The sequence below is a fragment of the Homo sapiens genome, chromosome 10 (assembly GCF_000001405.40).
Source record: "Homo sapiens chromosome 10, GRCh38.p14 Primary Assembly".
Lineage (NCBI taxonomy): Eukaryota > Metazoa > Chordata > Mammalia > Primates > Hominidae > Homo > Homo sapiens.
Window position 1 is genome coordinate 12,135,137 of NC_000010.11, and position 19,507 is coordinate 12,154,643.

Consider the following 19,507-nt stretch of genomic DNA (forward strand, 5'->3'; position numbering starts at 1 on the left):
ACAGGGGCCTGTGGGGGTAGGGGGAAAGGGGAGGGAGAGCATTAGGACAAATACTAATGCATGCGGGGCTTAAAACCTAGACGACAAGTTGATAGGTGCAGCAAACCACCATGGCATATGTCTGCCTATGTAACAAACCGGCACGTTCAGCACATGTATCCTAGAACTTAAAGTAAAATTTAAAACAATAATAATAAAATAAAAATATTTAAGGTAAAAATTTTGAAGTAAAAGAGAAACTGAAAAATCTAGATTTGAAAATTCTTTCCTCAGTAAAAGTAGATTTAAAAAAATATAAGCTTAATTTTTTAGAACATATTTCTCTTTTTAAATTTGTATAAATATAAGTAGCACAAATGCAGTTTTGTTACATGAATGTATTATGTAGTGGTGAAGTCTGGGCTTTGAGTGTATCCATCACCCAGATAACGTTCATTGTACCCATTAAGTAATTTCTCATCATCCATCTTTTCCTGCCACCCCTGTACCCTTCGGAGACTCCACTTCTGTCATTCCATATTCTATGTCCATGTGTACACATTGTTTAGCTCCTACTTTTAAGTGAGAGCCCACAGTGTTTGACTTTCCACTTCTGAGTTGTTTCACTTAAGATAACCTCCTCCAGTTCGTTCCATCCAGGTTGCTGCAAGGGACATGGTTTCATTCTTTTCATGGCTCAGAAGTATTTCATTATTTATATACAGCATATCTTCTTTATCCAGTCATCAAGAAGCATCTGTGCATGTGTGTCTGTATATATGTGTGCGTGTGTGTATATGTATGAGAGAGAAAAAAATGTTTGTAAAACTTTGTACCTAATAAACAAAAATGCTTCCTTTATAACACATAACGGACATTCCCAATTTCTGTGAATTAGGCCCCAAAGAATAACCTCAAAACTCTGCTGCCCCCCAAAAATTTGCTGTTTCTTGGTTTTGATTGATGATTCTTTACATTTTGTTGTACAGATCCAGTTTAGAGAGAAGGTTCTGTGGACTGCTATAACGCTCTTCATTTTCTTAGTGTGTTGTCAGGTATGTAACTATACTATTAAATAAATGTCTGCACCATTGTTCTAAGGTTTTGATTGGTTAGAATTTGAGAATTTTTTTTGTTAAAATAAAGAATACATTGAGCTCAATATATTGAGCATTATTATCCTTTTTATTTTTTATTATTAATTTTTTTTTGAGATGGAGTCTCACTCTGTTGCCCAAGCTGGATGCAGGGGCATGATCTCGGCTCACCGCAACCTCTGCCTCCTGGGTTCAAGTGATTCTTCTTCCTTGGCCTCCCAAGTAGCTGGGACTACAGGTTCCTACTACCATGCCCAGCTAAAGTCTCGCTCTGTTGCCCAAGCTGGATGCAGGGGCATGATCTCAGCTCACTGCAACCTCTGCCTCCTGGGTTCAAGTGACTCTTCTTCCTTGGGCTCCCAAGTAGCTGTGGGACTACGGGTGCCTACCACCATGCCCAGCTAATTTTTGTATTTTTGTTTTATTTTATTTTTTGAGATGGAGTTTCACATTGTTGCCCAGGCTGGAGTGCAGTGGTATGATCTCGACTCACTGCAACCTCTGCCTCCCCAGTTCAAGTGATTCTCCTGCCTCAGCCTCCCGAGTAGCTGGGATTACAGGTGCATGCCACCAAGCTCAGCTAATTTTTGTATTTTTAGTAGAGATGGGGTTTCACTATATTGACCAGGCTAGTCTCGAACTCCTGACCTCAAGCTATCCACCTTCTTCAGCCTCCCAAAGTGTTGGTATTATAGGCGTGAGCCACCACGCCCAGCTGAATTTTTGTATTTTTAGTAGAGATGGGGTTTTGCTGTGTTGTTCAGGCTTATCTCGAACTCCTGACCTCAGGTGATCTACCTGCCTCAGCCTCCCAAATTGCTGGGATTACAGGCGTGAGCCACCACACCCTTTTTTATCTGGCAATTTTTTGTTTTTAAATAGAGACGGGGTCTATGTTGCCCAGGCTGGTCTCCAGCTCCTAGGCTCAGGTGATGCTCCTGCCTCAGCCTCCCTAGTAGGTAGGACTGCAGGTGTGCCCCACCATGTCTGGCTAATTTTTCAATTCTTTTGCAGGGAAAGGGTCAAGCTAAAACCAAATTTTTGCAATCTTGGGTTGTACTGTGTTTAAAAATTACTAAAATTTGATGATAGTGTTTTTTTGGTTTTTGTTTTTTGGTTTTTTTTTGAGACAGGGTCTCACTCTGTCACCCAGGCTGCAGTGATCACTTCAGCCTTGACTTCCCCAAGCCCGGGTGATCTTCCCACCTCAGCCTTCTGACTAGCTGGGACTACAGGCACGAGCCACTACACCCAGTTAATTTCTTTTGGTATTGTAGAGATGAGGTTTTGCCATGTTGCCCAGGCTGGTCTCGAATTCCTGGGCTCAAGCCATCCATCTACCTGTATCTCCCACAGGGCTGGGATTACATGCCTGAGCCACCACACCCAGCCCAATGATACTTTCAAATAAAATGTTGCAGACATATTAAGTTCACAGTGTGAGTATAAAATGTGGCCTGCCTATGTTTTAGGGTTATTGTAAAGATTAAATAAGATAATTTAGGTCAAGGTGGCTGGGCATGGTGGCTCATGCCTGTAATCCCAGCACTTTGGCAGGCCAAAGTGGGAGGATTACTTGACGTCAGGAGTTGAGACCAGTCTGGTCAACATGGTGAAACTCCGTCTCTACTAAAAATACAAAAATTAGCCAGGCATGGTGGCGTGCACATGTAATCCCAGCTACTCGGGAGGCTGAGGCAGGAGAACCACTTGAACCCAGGTGGTGGAGGTTGCAGTGAGCTGAGATCACGCCATTGCACTCAAACCTGGGCAACAGAGCGAGATGCTGTCTCAAAATAAATAAATACATAGATACATACATACATACATACCAGATAATTTAGGTCAAGGTTTTTTGGGGAGTTCGAAAATCTATTGAAATACTTGTAAGAACTTTTAAAAAATTATATTAGGAAGCAGTAGAACAGATTAGGTACATAATCTGGAGAAAACCTAACTATATTTTCTTTCTGAAGGATGAAATGATCTGATAATTAAAGTACTTTTACTACTGTACTTGTTTTAAATTTGTTTTAAATGGTCAGGGAGAGAAGTTTAAAGAAACAAAGAAAAATACAAAGAAAAAAAAGAATAGTCATCCATATTTCTACCATTGACTTTCAGCATCTTAGAAACTCCTCTCCCCACCATTAAAAAAAAAGTCAACCTTGTGGAGGTATAATATATATACAGTAAAGTACACCTGTTTTTAGGCATACATTTTGAAGAGTTTTGACAAATTTGTACACCCACATGACTACAACCTCTGTGGATATAGAACACTTCTGTCATCCCCGAAGTTCACTGTAACCTTTCTCAGTGAATCTCCACAGGCCCAGGCTACCACTCATCTGCATCCTGTGACTGTACTTTGATTTGTTTTTTCTAGAGCTTCATGTAAATGGAATCATACAGTAGTATATTCTTTAGTGTCTAACTTCATAATCTTTTTGAGATTAATTCATATGGTCGTTACGTCAGTAACTCATTCCTTTTTATTTCTGAATACTGTTCTGATGTTGAAGTTATCACAGTTTATTCATTCATTCGCTTGTTAGACATTTGGGTTGTATCCAGATTTTGGCTACAACACATCAATTTGCTATGAACATTCATGTATAAGTCTTTCTGTGGATATTTTTCATGGGTGAGTCCTTAGAAGTACAGCTGTTGGGTTTTATAGTAAATGTATGCTCAACTTATAAGAAATTGTCAGCTCTTTTCCAAGTGGTTGCCCCATTTTGTTTGTTTGTTTGTTTGTTTGTTTGAGACGTAGTCTCGCTCTGTTGCCCAGGCTGGAGTGCAGTGGCACGATTTCGGCTCACCGCAAGCTCCGCCTCCCGGGTTCAAGCGATTCTCCTATCTCAGCCTCCTGAGTAGCTGGGATTTCAGGCACGTGCTACCATGCCCAGCCAATTTTTGTATTTTTCGTAGAGCTGGGGTTTTACCATGTTGGACAGGCTGTTCTTGAACTCCTGACCTCAGGTGATCTGCCTGCCTCAGCCTCCCAAAGTGCTGGGATTACAGGCGTGAGCCACCACGCCCGGCCCTCGGTTGCCCCATTTTGTATTTCCACCAGCCGTGTTCTGGAGTTCCAGTTGATCTGCATCCTGGTCTACTTTTAGTATTTTTGATTATTTTAATAGTAGTCATCTTGCCAGGCGCAGTGGCTCACGCCTGTAATCCCAGCACTTTGGGAGGCTGAGGCGGGTGAATCACCTGAGGTTGGGAGTTTGAGACCAGCCTGACCAACATGGAGAAACCCCGTCTCTACTAAAAGTACAAAATTGAGCTGGGCGCGGTAGCTCACACCTATAATCCCAGCACTTTGGGAGGCCAACGCAGGCGGATCACGAGGTCAGGAGATCGAGACCATCCTGGCTAACACAGTGAAACCCCATCTCTACTAAAAATAGAAAAAATTAGGCGGGCGTGGTGGCGGGCGCCTGTAGTCCCAGCTGCTCGGGAGGCTGAGGCAGGAGAATGGCATGAACCCAGGATGCAGAGCTTGCAGTGAGCTGAGATCGAGCCACTGCACTCCAGTCTGGGCGACAGAGCGAGACTCCGTCTCAAAAAATAATAAATAAAAATAAATAAAAATACAAAATTGGCTGGGCGTGGTGGCAAATACCTGTAGTCCCAGCTACTTGGGAGGCTGAGGCAGGAGAATGGCGTGAACCCGGGAGGCGGAGCTTGCAGTGAGCCGAGATCCCGCCACTGCACTCCAGCCTGGGCGACAGAGCGAGACTCCATCTCAAAAAAAAAAAAAAAAAAGAATTCATGAACCTGACAGCACTCAACATGGGTAGAGGGGCCGAGAGCTGCTCCAGGGGTGTGGGCAGTGAGCTTTTGTAGCAGAAGTAAAGAATTGCAGAAGTAAAGAAATTACTTGATTGGCTACAGCTAGGCGTTTGCCTCATTTGATTATGTTCCAGTGAGAGGTTTCTGTGTAGCCAATAGGCTGGTTGACTGTCTGTAATTGGCTGAAACTCATTCAGAATTAAATATCCTCTAAGGTCATTTTCAGTTTTCTTTTGTGAGACTTCAGGGTACAGAAACAACCACAGGCTAATGGCCACCTGCTTAGAGTGCCTTAACAAGTTGAAACTGATTATTATATTAAATATAGTGCAAAGTTTGGAACTCTGCAACTGTGACAGATTCATAGAAAATAAGCTCCTATTGTTGCCCACCTGTTGTTGTACATGATCCTCTAGCTATGGAATTTACTAAGTGAAATAAAATTAGAAACCAATTTTAATAATCCTACTGGTTGCAGGAAAGGAGGGTATACCATTAATTATGGGAGGTTGGCTTGCTGTTTCCCACAGAGCGCCTAACCATGGCGGATTAAGGAAGGTCGTTGGGCGGAGTGGCCGCTCTCCACTTGTGGAATATTTTGAGATGGAGTCTCACTCTGTCACCCAGGCTGGAGTGCAGTGGCATGATCTCAGCTCACTGCAACCTCCGCCTCCCGGATTCAAGCGATTCTCCTCCCTCAGCCCCCGGAGTAGCTGGGACTACAGGCACGTGCCACCACGCCCAGCTAATTTTTTTGTGTGTATTTTTAGTAGAGATGGGGTTTCACTGTGTTAATCAGGATGATCTCGATTTCCTGACCTCATGATCCACCCATCTCGACCTCCCAAAGTGCTGGGATTACAGGTGTGAGCCACCACTCCCAGCTGTTTTTGTTTTGTTTTTTGAGATGGAGTCTTGTTTTGTCGCCCAGGCTGGAGTTCAGTGGCACGATGTCTGCTCACTGCAACCTCTGCCTCCCAGGTTCAAGCGATTCTCCTACCTCCGCCTCCTGAGTAGCTGGGATTACAGGCACGAGCCGCCACTCCCTGCTAATTTTTGTATTTTTAGTAGAGATGGGGTTTCACCATGTCGGCCAGGCTGGTCTTGAACTCCTAGCCTCAAGTGATGTGCCCACGTTGGACTCCCAAGATACTGGTGTTACAGGCCTGAGCCATCGTGCCTGGCCCTCACCTCTCACTTTAAATGAAGAGTGTCTACAGCTGCCAGGTGCACATAAAATATCCATGTTTCATGCTTTACCAGTTTTATTACCCAGCTGATAAATTCAGACTTTCAGGGAGGTTTAGGTTGACCAGGTGAGTTGTTTAAAATTGCTGCCAGCATCTTTTGTAACTTTCTTAAAAATCAGTTTCATATAGAGAAGGTTTTTGAAATGTCTTTGTCTAATCCCCACATGGTTAAGGAGGGGTTAAGGCCAAGTGCTGTATCCTAAATATGGGTTATATAATAGGAAGCAATCTGAACTTAAGTTGTTTTTTGTTGTTGTTTTAATGAAAAGTTAATGTCCTCATTATGGAAAATTTGATACATATGAAAAGAATACAGAAGAAAAAGTCAACCATAATCCCACCATCTACAGATAATTGCTGTTTAGGATTTAAAAAGATATCTCCTCCTAGTTTGATTTTCTGTGCATCTATTTACAGTGTCATAGTTTATATATACACTTTCGTACTTCGTTTTTATACTAGGGCTTCTTAACAGTCGCACTCCTGAATTTGAGGTAGGATGATTCCTTGCCCCAGGGGTCTGTCCTGTGTATTTCAGGATGTTCAGCAGCACTCTGGCCTCTACTAGCCATCACCCCCTGTTCTGTGAAAGGGCCATATATGCAAAATGACCCGCAAACACTGAAGGAGCTGCGAAACCAATGAATGAGGGAGACAAATCCAGTTTGTCAGTAGAGGGTGATTTTACAGACAGAAGCATAGTTTGGGGCAGCAGTAAGACAGGGAAAGGCCTGCATTCTTACTCCCAGACCCAGGGCTAATCTATCATAGGGAAGGGGTGTATGTGCTTTGTGCAGGACAGTTGAAGGCAGCTTTCCAGAACATGCAAGAATGCTGTGTGTCACAGCCTGTTATTTGTGTAATAGCATCAACGTTGCTTGGATCTCAGGGCAGGATTTATGGCGAGTACATGTTCTTACACTAAGGACTGTAAATAAAGCAGGAATCAGGAGGTATCCCTGAGACCAGGGTTGAGCAGAAGTCAACATGGTAGATTAGCATCCAAGATGGAGTCACTTTGGTCTCCACCTTGGCCCCTAGTTGTGGCAACCAAAAATGTCTCTAGATATTGCCAAATGTCTTGGGTGGGGGCTAAAATCACCCCTAGTTTAGAACTGCTATTTTATATTTAGTTTTATGACATAAGTACTTCTTCCATGTTATTACAGATTGAGTAAGCATAATTTTTAGTGGCCATGTAATATTCCATTGTGGATATCATCTTCAGTCTTACATTGAGAAGAGTGACCTTGGCTGTCTTTAGTATATAGAGCTTTGCAAAATCATTCTACGACCAGGCAGGTATAATATTCCATAATCTACTGGTGGGAGTGTTTTTTAAATTGTGGTAAAAGTATAGAAAATATGCCATCTTCATCATTTTTAGATGTGCAGTTTAGTAACATTAGGAATGTTCACATTGTTGTACCACCACACTCCATAAGCGATGTATTTACTAGTGAATGCACCAAGTGATGATTTGTTGTTTTTATTTTTATTTTCACTTTCTGGTTCTTTTAATTATTTTTTTTATTAACCCTTATCTATGTGATGGAATGTTTTTCTTTTTATTTTCTTTTTAATAAACAGCTTTACCTTGAAGATATGCTTGTTTTTGTTGAAGAACATAAGAATAGTTTTTAAAAAAGTATTGCAAGCAGTAAGTGAATACCTTGTAAATTAAGTGCACACTTTATACTTTTTTTTTTTGAGACAGAGTCTCCTGTCACCCAGGCTGGAGTGCAGTGGCGTGATCTCAGCTCACTGCAGCCTTTGCCTCCTGGGTTCAAGCGATTCTTATGCCTCAGCCTTATATAATACAGTTTCATAAACTATTTTGTGTACTATTTTAGATCCCACTGTTTGGAATCATGTCATCAGATTCTGCAGATCCTTTCTACTGGATGAGAGTTATTCTGGCTTCCAATAGAGGTATGCGTGTCTTTTCTGTCTCCACACTCCTACTCACAGCAAACAGATGGAAACATGTGGATTAGCAATGAGTTTTCAATGTCTACAGGGAGGGGGAGGATATCATTGCCTAGAAAAGCCTAGTATGTAGATAATGACAACACCGTGTGATTAATGTAATCATAGAGAAATCTGTTCTTGGGTTTTCATGGACTGGAAAACCCTGATCTTCAGTGTCAAAGAAGGTGATGTCCAGATAACATTGGAATTGGAGTCCAGGTGGGGCGCCGTGGCTCACCCCTGTAATCCCAGCACTTTGGGAGGCCAAGGTGGGCAGATCACCTGAGGTCAGGAGTTTGAGACCAGCCTGGCCAACATGGTGAAACCCCGTCTCTACTAAAAATAGAAAAATTAGCCAGGTGTGGGTATGCACCTGTAATCCCAGCTACTCAGGAGGCTGAGGTAAGAGAATCGCTTGAACCTGGGAGATGGAGGTTGCAGTGAACTAAGATCGCACCACTGCAATCCAGCCTGGGTAACAGAGTAAGACTCTGCCTCCAAAAAAAAAGGGAGTCCAGTGTGTGAGCCAATCGGGGAGCTCAGCTGGAGCTGAGCCTGAAGCCTCAAGCAGCATTGTTCATCTGGGAAATTGTGGCTGAGGATGCTGGACAGTGAGAGTAGCAAGGGGTACAACCAGTCGTGAGGTTTCTTACATTTAGGAACAGTGGTTGCCTCTTTTTTGGAAACACTTTTTTCAGGCGATCCTCCCACTTCAGCCTCCTGAGTAGCTGGGACTACTGGTGCGTGCCACAATGCCTGGCTAATTTTTGTAGTTTTGTAGAGGTGAGGTTTTGCCATGTTGCCTAGGCTGGTCTTGAACTCCTGGGTTCATGCCATCCTCCCTCAAAGTGCTGGGATTACAGGTGTGAGCCACTGCACCCAGCCTGGACATACTTTAAATCGATGGCAGATTTTTTTTTGATGTTTTTAGGTTATAAAGGTAATATTGATTTATTATTTTAAAAATGCACTAGCAATTTATATACAGATTTATATGAAGCTGAAAAGAAAAGTGTCACTTCTGAGGGGAGCTCTGGAGGATTTGGTAGATTGGTGACTATCAATTGAGGCCTTTTCTTTGCACATACATTCACTTACATATATCTATATACTTCTTATAACTGAAAAGTAAGATGTCCTGTATATACTATTCTGCTACTTTGTTTACTTAATATCTTACATGAGCTATTAATGGCCATGTTATTATTCCATTATAAGGATACGCTGTGATTTATTTGATCATTCATTCAACAAATACTTACTGAGTTCATATTGTGTGTCAGCCTTTGTGCAAGGTGCCGAGATTAGAGCAGTGAACAAGACAATGTCCCAGTTGTCATGGAGTTGATATTTGCTGTTTGGGGAGGTACCTGGGGTGGGGAAGGTGCTCTAGGAAGGTGATCTTTGAAGACAGCTGCAGGAAGTGAGAGAGGAGGCCACATGAAGACCTGAGGGAGGCATATTCTAGGGAAGAGCCAGTGCAAAGGCCCTGAGGTGAGCCTGTGCTTGGTGTGTTCAAAGATCATTGAGGAGGGGCCAGGCGCAGGGGCTCATGCCTGTGATCCCAACACTTTGGGAGGCTGAAGCGGGAAGATCACTTGAGGTCAGGAGTCCAGACCAGCCTAGGCAACAAAGTGAGACCCCATCTCTACTAAAATCACAAAAATTAGCCAGGTGTGGTCGTGTGTACTGTGGTCCCAGCTACTTGGGAGGCTGAGGTGGGAGGATGGCTTGAGCCTGGGAGGAAGAGATTGCAGTGAGCCGAGATCACGCCACTGCACTCTAGCCGGGGCGACACAACCAGACCCTGTCTCAAAAAAAAAAGGAACATTGAGGAGGTGAGTGTGGGGTGGAAGAAATGAAAGAAGAGGGAGGAGTGATGGGACCTGATGTTGCAGATGTATCTAAGTCAGATCATGAAGGGCTTGGAGACCGTTGGATGGAGCACATTTTAAGGAAGATGGGAAACTTCTGCAGGCCACTAGGTTCCTTTCTTGTCATATATTACGTTTTTTTCCCCCCGATTTTATATCATTATAAAGAATGCTACAATGAAGGCTATCACACCGTTCTGTAACTTTTTGATAGAATGAATTTCTAGAAGTTCAACTGTTGGGTCACAAGATAGGCATACTGAAATTTTTGATAGAGAAAGCTAAATTATCTTCCAAAACAGTTGTTTGATTTTACACTCTCAGCGACAGTATATGAGAATGACCATTTCTCTTTCAACAGTGGATATTATTAGTATTTTAGTCTTTGTTAGTCAGAGAGGTAAAAGCTGGCATCAGTTATTTAATTTTGATTTCTTTATAGATTGGTGAGTTTGAACATTGTTTTCTGTTTTTATGGAACATTTGTATTTCTTCTATAAGTGGAGTTTTATTAGTGTGTTAGATTCCTTTTGTTGTAAGTAATAGGAAACTAGATGCTTTCGTAGTCCGTAGATGTGATGATTGGATCTTCACGCTCGTGTGTGAGATGTGCCTCTCTCCAGCCTTGTTAGGATGTTGGAACATTACCCATCTGACATGAAAAGAAAAAAGAAAAAACATTGTTTTAAATAAAGGAGAAAAATTAAGGAATAGGAAATCACTGACTAGCTTAAACAGAAACATGATACTTGCTGGAAGGATACTGGTTATTTTTTGGAATCTACAGTGGAGATGAACAGCTAAGCCCCAGGAAGAAGGGGAGCAAGGCCAGCCCTTAGGCCTCAGCAGCAGGGATTGGTGAACATTTTCCATTCTCTGTGCGATTCAGCTCCACACTCCCAGATTTATTTTATTTTATTTTATTTTTTTAAACCAAATTTCGCTCTTGTTGCCCAGGCTGGAGTGCAATGGTGCGATCTTGGCTCACTGCAACCTCCACTTCTCAGGTTCAAGCGATTTTCCTGCCTCAGCCTCCTGAATAGCTGGGATTACAGGCACAAGCCACCATGCGCCACTAATTTTTTTATTTTTAGTAGAGATGGGGTTTCACCATATTGGCCAGGCTGGTGAATTCCTGACCTCAGGTGATCCACCCACCTTGGCCTCCCAAAGTGCTGGGATTACAGGTTTGAGTCACTGTGCCTGGCCCCAGATTATTTGTTTAAAATTCCAGATGCCCAGGGTTCTCACCAGGCAGGATCAGCTTCAGTTAGAGTTCCAGGGTTGCACAGTACAGGTTTGGATGCTGGGGGCCTACTCCTGTGCTGCATTTTCCTGAGAAAGCTTCAGCAGGAGCAGACACATCATGTATCTGCTGTTTCCTTTTTAAATTGTTTTTTTCCTTTTTTTTTTGTTTTATTTTTTTTGAGACGGAGTCTCGCTCTGTCACCCAGGCTGGAGTGCAGTGGCGCGATGTCAGCTCACTGCAAGCTCCGCCTCCCGGGTTCACACCATTCTCCTGCCTCAGCCTCCTGAGTAGCTGGGACTACAGGTGCCCGCCACCACGCCCTGCTAATTTTTTGTATTTTTTAGTACAGGTGGGGTTTCACCATGTTAGCCAGGATGGTCTTGATCTCCTGACCTTGTGATCCGCCCGCCTCAGCCTCCCAAAGTGCTGGGATTACAGGTGTGAGCCACCGCGCCCAGCCAGTTTGTTCACTTTTTAATTGATTTGTAAGAGCTCTTTGCACATGAGAGATAAGAACTTTTTGTCATTTGTGTTTAATTTTTTTTTATTCTTTTGGGACAGGCTCTTGCTCTGTTGCCCAGGCTGGAGTGCAGTGGTGCAAACAGCTCACTGCAGCCTTGACCTCTTGGGCCAAGTGATACTCCTGCCTTAGCCTCCCATGTAGCTGGGACCACAACCGGGCACCACCATGTCTGACTAGTATTTTAATTTTTTGTAGAGACAGCATCTCACTTTGTTGCCTAGGCTGCTCTCAAACTCCTGGCCTCAAGTGATCTGCCTGCCTCAGCTTCCTAAAGTGTTGGGATGACAGGCGTGAGCCACCATGTCTGCCTTAATAGTTTTATTTTAACCATTATGCTGCCTTTTGCCACGTGGAAGTTTTGTAGTTGTATCTAATCATATCTTCCATCTTTTCCTTTGTGGCTTCTAGATTTTTTGCCATGCTTAGAAAGACTTTCTTGCCCAAGATGATAAGCTACTCACCCATATTTCCTTCTAGTATTTTTGTCATTTATCCTTTATGTTTAAATTTTCTATACATGGAGGCTGGGCACAGTGGCTCATGCCTGTAATCCCTGCACTTTGGGAGGCCGAGGAGGGCAGATTACTTGAGGTCAGGAATTTGAGACCTGACTGGCCAATGTAGTGAAACCCCATCTCTACCAAAAATACAGAAATTAGCTGGGCATGGTGGCTTACGCCAGTAATCTCAGGTACTCGGGAGGCTGAGGCAGGAGAATCGCTTGAATCCAGGAGGTGGAGGTTGCAGTGAGCCAAGATCGTGCCATTGTACTCCAGCCTGGGTGACAGTGAGACTCTGTCTAAAAAAAAAAAAAAAAAAATTTCTATACATGTAGCATTTGTTTTGATGTGAGGCATGAGGCATGAGGTAAGGAATCTAGGTTTAATTTCCTAAAAATGGCCAATTTTTTTGCCAAGGTCCATTTTTTTCTCTACTGATTTGAAATGCCATATTTCTTATATCAAATATTCATTAAAGCTTGATTAAGTCTATTTCTGGACTAGAGCTATTTGCAATAATAAATTTTGGTGATCTAACTTAAGAAATCTATCTAATATCTTTTTTTTTTTTTTTGAGACAGAGTCTCGCTCTGTCACCCAGGCTGAAGTAAGTGCAGTGGCACGATCTCGGCTCACTGCAACCTCTGCCTCCCAGGTTCAAGTGAGTCTTCTGCCTCAGCTTCCCGAGTAGCTGGGACTACAGGCGCCCACCACCATGCCCAGCTAATTTTTGTATTTTTAGTAGAGACGGGGTTTCACCATATTGGCCAGGCTGGTCTCAAACTCCTGACCTCATGATCCTCCCACCTCGTCCTCCCAAAGTGCTGGGATTACAGGCGTGAGCCACCATGCCCGGCCATTTTTTTTTTTTTTTTTTTTTTTAAGACAGAATTTCGCTCTTGTTGCCCAGGCTGGAGTGCAATGGCGGGATCTTGGCTCACCGCAACCTCCACCTCCCGGGTTCAAGCAATTCACCTGCCTCAGCCTCCCAAGTAGCTGGGATTACAGGCATGCACCATCATGCCCGGATACTTTTGTATTTTTATTAGAAATGGGGTTTTTCCATGTTGGTCAGGCTGGTCTCGAACTCCTGACCTTAGGTGATCTGCCCGCCTTGGCCTCCCAAAGTGCTGGGATTACAGGTATGAGCCACCACACCCGGCTTTTTTTTTTTCTTTGAGATGGAGTCTCACTCTTTCGCCAGGTTGGAATGCAGTGGTGCGATCTTGGTTCACTGCAACCTCCAACTCCTCGGTTCAAGGGATTCTCCTGCCTCAGCCTCCCGAGTAGCTGGGACTACAGGCGCACGCCACCACACCTGGCCAATTTTTGTATTTTCAGTAGAGACGGCCAGGATGGTCTCAATCTCCTGACCTCAGGTGATCTGTTGGCTTTGGCCTCCCAAAGTGCTGGGATTACAGGCGTGAGCCACCACGCCTGGCCAATAAATCTATCTAATGTCTTAAACACTAAAACATGTTTTTATTTTTTACTATTGAGGAAGTATCTGAGACGACATCAAAAATCCCCCGTAAGGTGGACTATTTTCTCATATGAAGGCCACCTTTTCAGCATTTATGAAAACAGGATTGAAGGGAGTGATGTGACAGAGTGGCCCAGGAAGTCTTGGCACTGTAGAATTACTTGATTCCATACCTTCCTTATACAGTTGGCATATTTGATTTTCTTATTTCTCCCTATAAATTCTTTTTTTTTGGTTTGTTTTTGAGATGGAGTCTCACTCTGTTGCCCGGGCTGGAGTGCAGTGGCGCAATCTCGGCTTACTGCAACCTCTGCCTTCCAGGTTTAAGCGATTCTCCTGCCTCAGACTCCTGAGTAGCTGGGATTACAGGTGCCCGCCACCACACCTGGCTAATTTTTGCATTTTTAGTAGAGACGGGGTTTCTCCATGTTGTCCCGTTGGTCTCGAACTTCTGACCTCAGGTGATCCACACACCTCGGCCTCCCAAAGTGTGGGGACTGCAGGCGTGAGCCACTGTGCCAAGCCTATAGTACTTTTTATTCAGGGCATTGCTGCAGGATTGTGTTAATAAATGAGAACTTTTCTTAGCAAGTAGTGTTTAAGAAATGAAAATTTGCTTGTTAAAATTTTCACGTGTGTTTCAGTTGAGGTAATTAGGGAGTGCGACACCTCTAAATCAGTTTGTATCGTGTACAGCAAACATTGCACACTTCTCTCCCCTTCCTTTCCAGGAACTTTAATGGAATTGGGTATCTCCCCAATTGTAACATCTGGTTTGATTATGCAGTTGTTAGCTGGAGCCAAAATCATTGAAGTTGGAGATACACCGAAAGATAGAGCTTTATTCAATGGAGCCCAGAAACGTGAGCATTAATGCAATTAAAGAGCATTCTCCAAATTTGAGAGTGCTCGTGGTAAAGATGTTTTCTCTAGTCTTTTCTTGTCTTTGGTGGTAAGCGTGCTCTCCTTTCCCCCCAACTTTCATCAGTGTTTGGTATGATCATTACCATTGGGCAAGCCATTGTGTATGTCATGACGGGGATGTATGGGGACCCTGCAGAAATGGGTGCCGGAATCTGTCTCCTGATCATCATTCAGGTAAGAAATCCTATATTTTCCTATGCAGATAACAAAACAGTTTGATTCCTTTTTCCTTTTCTAACAGTTCTTTAGGTGATTGGCTTATTCATTTTCTTACTTTTGAATTATTTAATTCTAGTATTTTGATCACTGAAGTGATACGTGTAAAATTTTTTTAAAACCTTCTGTCACCGTGACGTGTTCAAGTTGTGTTGACGTGAAAAATTCAAATTTATTCTAATAGCTTCATAACTGCACAATACAAAGAATTATGGATCAATTGTATTTTATTGATTCTTAAGATACACATTTGTCACATTTTGATGTCTCTAGAATCAGGATGTTTTTGTACAGTAAACAGTGCCTTCCACTTGCGGTCTGCCAGGAGGCAGTCATGGTGGTGTCACTGCCTGTGCGTGTGTCAGCCTGTTCAGGTCATGCTGACCTTAGTTGGCTGAGTGTGATCTTCACAGAATGGGTGTTTGAGTTCAATCGCTGTCTAAAGGTGTTCAGAAAATCTGTTGTGATTTGTTATTGAAATGAAAGTTTATGTATAGAAGGGCAAGCTAGATGATAAATATCTACCACTAGGTCTAAAATACGTTTTTGTAAGTAGAAAATTAAAATTCTTTGCAATAAGGTATTGTGCCATAAGTTAATTGGCAGTATTCTTTTCTTAGTAGTACACAAAATAATGATGTTTTACATGGTAATGTCTTAGAGTCAGTGAAACACTGTTTATACACACATAAATATATTCCATGGGTTTTTTAAATGGATGCTTAGGAATGGAATTTTTAAAGGTCAACATAATTATTAGTGTCCTAAGTATCTTTTTTTTTTTTTTTTGAGACGGAGTCTCACTCTGTTGCCCGGGCTGGAGTGCAGTGGCACAATCTCAGCTCACTGCAGCCTCTGTCTCCCGTGTTCAAGCAATTCTCCTGCCTCAGCCTCCTGAGTAGCTGGGCTTACAGGTGCCTGCCACCACGCCCAGCTAATTTTTTGTATTTTTAATAGAGACGGGGGTTTCACCATGTTGGCCAGGCTGGTGTTGAACTCCTGACCTCGTGATTCGCCCGCCTCGGCCTCCCAAAGTGCTGGGATTACAGGCGTGAGCCACTGCGCCCGGCCCTAAGTATCTTAAAATATGTTAAGTTTGGAAGCTATTTCTCTATTGTACAATCCTTAAAAACCATTTAGATAAATTACCCAAGAACAGATCATACTTAAGTTATCTTTCTTGTGTTTTGAAAAGAAGTTTGCTGAAGTTAATAAACAATGGGTATCTGGAGTCCTGATTTTCTTGGAAATGCCTCTTCTTCTTCACTTTATGAAATTGGGATTAGTTTAGGAAATTTTTTCTTTTTCTTTTCTTTTTTTTTTTTTTGAGACACAGTCTTGCTGTGTCGCCAGGCTGAAGTGCAGTGGCACGATCTCGGCTCACTGCAACCTCCCCTTCCTGGTTTCAAGCGATTTTCCTGCCTCAGCTTCCTGAGTAGCTGGGACTACAGGCGCGCGCCACCATGCCTACCTAATTTTTGTATTTTTAGTAGAGACAGGGTTTCACCATGTTGGCCAGGATGGTCTTGATCTCTTGACCTCGTGATCCGCCTGCCTCGGCCTCCCAAAGTGCTGGGATTACAGGCGTGAGCCACTGTGCCCGGCCAGGTATTTTTTTCTGTCTGTTCAAAAGATCAAGATCAAGCTGAGAAAAATATTTTTTAATAATCTCAAATACCAGTTTATTAATATATACATAGAAGGAAATCTGACTGTCTCAGACTGGCATGGTTGAGCATTCTGGTTTTTTTGTTTTTGTTTTTTATTTTTGAGACGGAGTTTCACTCTTGTTGCCCAGGCTAGAGTACAATGGTGCAATCTCAGCTCGGCACAATCTTGGCTCAACACAACCTCTGCCTCCTGGGTTCAAGCGATTCTCCTGCCTCAGCCTCCCAAAGTGCTGGGATTACAGAGCATTCTGTTTTTTAAATTAGAAATGTTATGTAGGAAGCAAAACATGATTATTTAATGAGTGTGACTTATATCCAGGAAAGTTATGCTGTTCAAGTATTTATTTAGCATTGTTAACAATAAACATGACTTTTCTAATGAGATGGAACTGTTTTGTCATTTGACCAGGGCAGGAATTTTTTTTTTCGAGACGGAGTCCTGCTCTGTCTCCCAGACTAAAGTGCAGTGGTGCAATCTTGGCTCACTGCAACCTCCGCCTCCCAGGTTCAAGCAATTCTGCCTCAGCCTCCCCGGTAGCTGGAATTACAGGGTCCTGCCACCACGTCCAGCTAGTTGTGTATTTTTAGTAGAGATGGGATTTTGCCGTGTTGGCCAGGCTGGTCTTGAACTTCTGACCTTAGGTGATCCACCCGCCTCGGCCTTCCAAAATGCTGGGATTACAGGCGTGAGCCACCACGCCCCGCCCAGGGCAGGAATTTTTAATGAAAATCAGGTTATTTGGAAGCTTTCTGATCCCCAGTGTGTTCGCATTTGGTAGAAGATACGTTTCCTTAAAGAATAACTGTCAGATGTGGTGGCTCACACCTGTAATTCCAGCACTTTGAGAGGCCGAGATGGGCAGTTCACTTGAGGTCAGGAGTTTGAGACCAGTCTGGGCAACATGGTGAAACCCTGTCTCTACTAAAAACACAAAAATTGGCCGGGTGCAGTGGCTCACACCTGTAATCCCAGCACTTTGGGAGGCTGAGGCGGGCGGATCACGAGGTCAGGAGATCGAGACCATCCTGGCCAACATGGTGAAACGCTGTCTCTACCAAAAATACAAAAATTAGCAGGGCGTGGTGGCAGGAGCCTGTAGTCCCAGCTATTTGGGAGGCTGAGGCCGAACCCAGGAGGCGGAGGTTGCAGTGAGCTGAGATTGCACCACTGCACTCCAGCCTGGCGACAGAGCGGGACTCCGTCTCAAAAACTAAAACAAAATAAAACGACAAAAATTAGCCAGGCGTGGCGGTGTGTGCCTGTAATCCCAGCTACTAAGGAGGCTGAGGCAGGAGAATCGCTTGAACTCTGGAGTCGGAGTTTGCAGTGAGCCGAGGTCACACCACTGCACTCCAGCCTGGGCGACAGAGTGAGACTCTGTCTCAAAAAAAAAAAAAAAGATTAACTTTGTCTTTGTCTTTATTTGTCCATTTACAAATCACTTGATTGGCAAATTTACAGCCCTTGGGAATTAGGGAAAGAGGCGCATTGGATGGGGAGAGATGATATTCTGGAGTCTGATTTTAGTATCTTTCAGGGCTTAGGGTTTCTCTTCGTATGCTTTAGGCATTGTTGAGGTTATGGACAGGCCAATTGTTGCCTTCAGTTTTGTTTCTTTACAGCATTTTCTTTCTGCAATCCAGAGTTTAGAATAATCTTGATTTTTAGAAGACACTTAGAACTGGCATGTAGCTCGTAGAACATTATACATCAAGAAAAGCTCTCTAGTATCTTACTTAAGGATCTATTCAGATTCCTAAGGAATCTCCACTGAGCGATTCTCAGCCAGCTAGCTACAGGATTGACTTCTTACAGAGTCAGTTATGGATTGAAATTGATATAAAATAGAGTTAAGCTATTTTGCTGTTCATTTTCAGTATTCAGAAATCAGAAATACTTACAGTCCAAGAATGAAACAAGTGAAGTGGATGTACACTGATTCATTTACATGAATTCTGATACACAAATATGCGTGTTATGGCTAATTCTTCTAATGTTAATATATAAAGAGGGGTGTCATGTTTGATTGTAGGTGGGCAGTGACCCATTGGTGTCTTTTCAAGGCGTTACTAACATTGAAAATATGTGGATACACTGAAGAGCTATGATTGGATCAGTGTGTTTCACCCAGAAACATAGGTTTTGAAAACTGTTTGCATGCCGTTGTGGAAGGTATTTCTCACCTTATTTGTTTATGTTTCATTCACGTGGTTAGTGTTTTTCAGCTAGTGAGTTTAGAAATCTACATAGCAGGTCTTGACTAAAAATTTTAAAAAACTATTAGAGAATATCAGTGTGCATGGCACATAATAAAGGTAAGTATGTTTTGACATACTGAACAAAAGATAGTTTGACAAAACTAAGTTGTGTGTAGGTGTCGTGCAGGGTTAAAATGTTAAGTGCCATGTTTATACCGGCTCATCATACATGTCGTCCATTCCCCGTGAACATGTAGCAGTTAGGGTTCTGGTCCCATCACTGTAGACGCTGCTGTCACTTCCTGGGTTCTCATCCCTTTTCACAGGCATGCATGATATTTACTGGCTTTTATTCCCTTAATTATAGAAACCGTTTCTCATTTCTGTATAATTTCTTCCTCCCTTTGGAAAAACCCAAGTTTAATTTTCACAGGACATATGTGAACCACTCTGTAGTCCGATGGTCACTGTTCTGAACAGGGGGTGTGGAGAATTAGAGTTGTTTCAGAGCTGCTGTGGGACTCTGGAGAGGTCATTTCTCAAGGCCCATCACGATGCTTTCTGTGGCTGATGTTCATGGACGGCTGTTGCCTCCTGCATAGGATGGGTTTCTCTATGATGGGGAGTCTCTGTTCACTAATTACATGATTGTGGTTAAATAGAATCGGTAGTAAGTCCTAACCTCTACATTATTTTGTCAAAATGTCGAACTTGGTTTTCAAGCAGTAAAGGATTAGCATGATCTCTCTTAGAAGTTTGGAGAATCGTACC

The 19,507-nt window shown here is 43.0% G+C and overlaps 1 protein-coding gene and 1 non-coding gene across 6 annotated transcripts in view; both read left to right on the forward strand.

The window, feature by feature from the left end:
- The window catches only part of SEC61A2 (SEC61 translocon subunit alpha 2), a 40,318-nt gene that overhangs the window by 5,496 nt on the left and 15,315 nt on the right, over positions 1 to 19,507 (forward strand). For 3 of the 5 annotated variants that reach the window (NR_024576.3, NM_001142627.3, NM_018144.4), the window contains exons 3-6: positions 969 to 1,034; positions 7,981 to 8,059; positions 14,459 to 14,590; positions 14,716 to 14,825. Coding sequence is in view for 3 of the 5 variants with exons in the window: in NM_001142627.3 (NP_001136099.1) it covers positions 969 to 1,034; positions 7,981 to 8,059; positions 14,459 to 14,590; positions 14,716 to 14,825 (387 nt within the window). In the remaining 2 variants the exon portion in view is untranslated. Of the gene's footprint in view, positions 1 to 968; positions 1,035 to 7,296; positions 7,430 to 7,980; positions 8,060 to 14,458; positions 14,591 to 14,715; positions 14,826 to 19,507 lie in introns of all 5 variants that reach the window. The other 2 variants (NR_024577.3, NM_001142628.1) reach the window with 2 other exon arrangements.
- LOC124902579 (small nucleolar RNA U13) lies at positions 10,527 to 10,630 on the forward strand. Its single transcript, XR_007062412.1, has one exon. It is a non-coding gene; the product is annotated as a small nucleolar RNA U13 (small nucleolar RNA).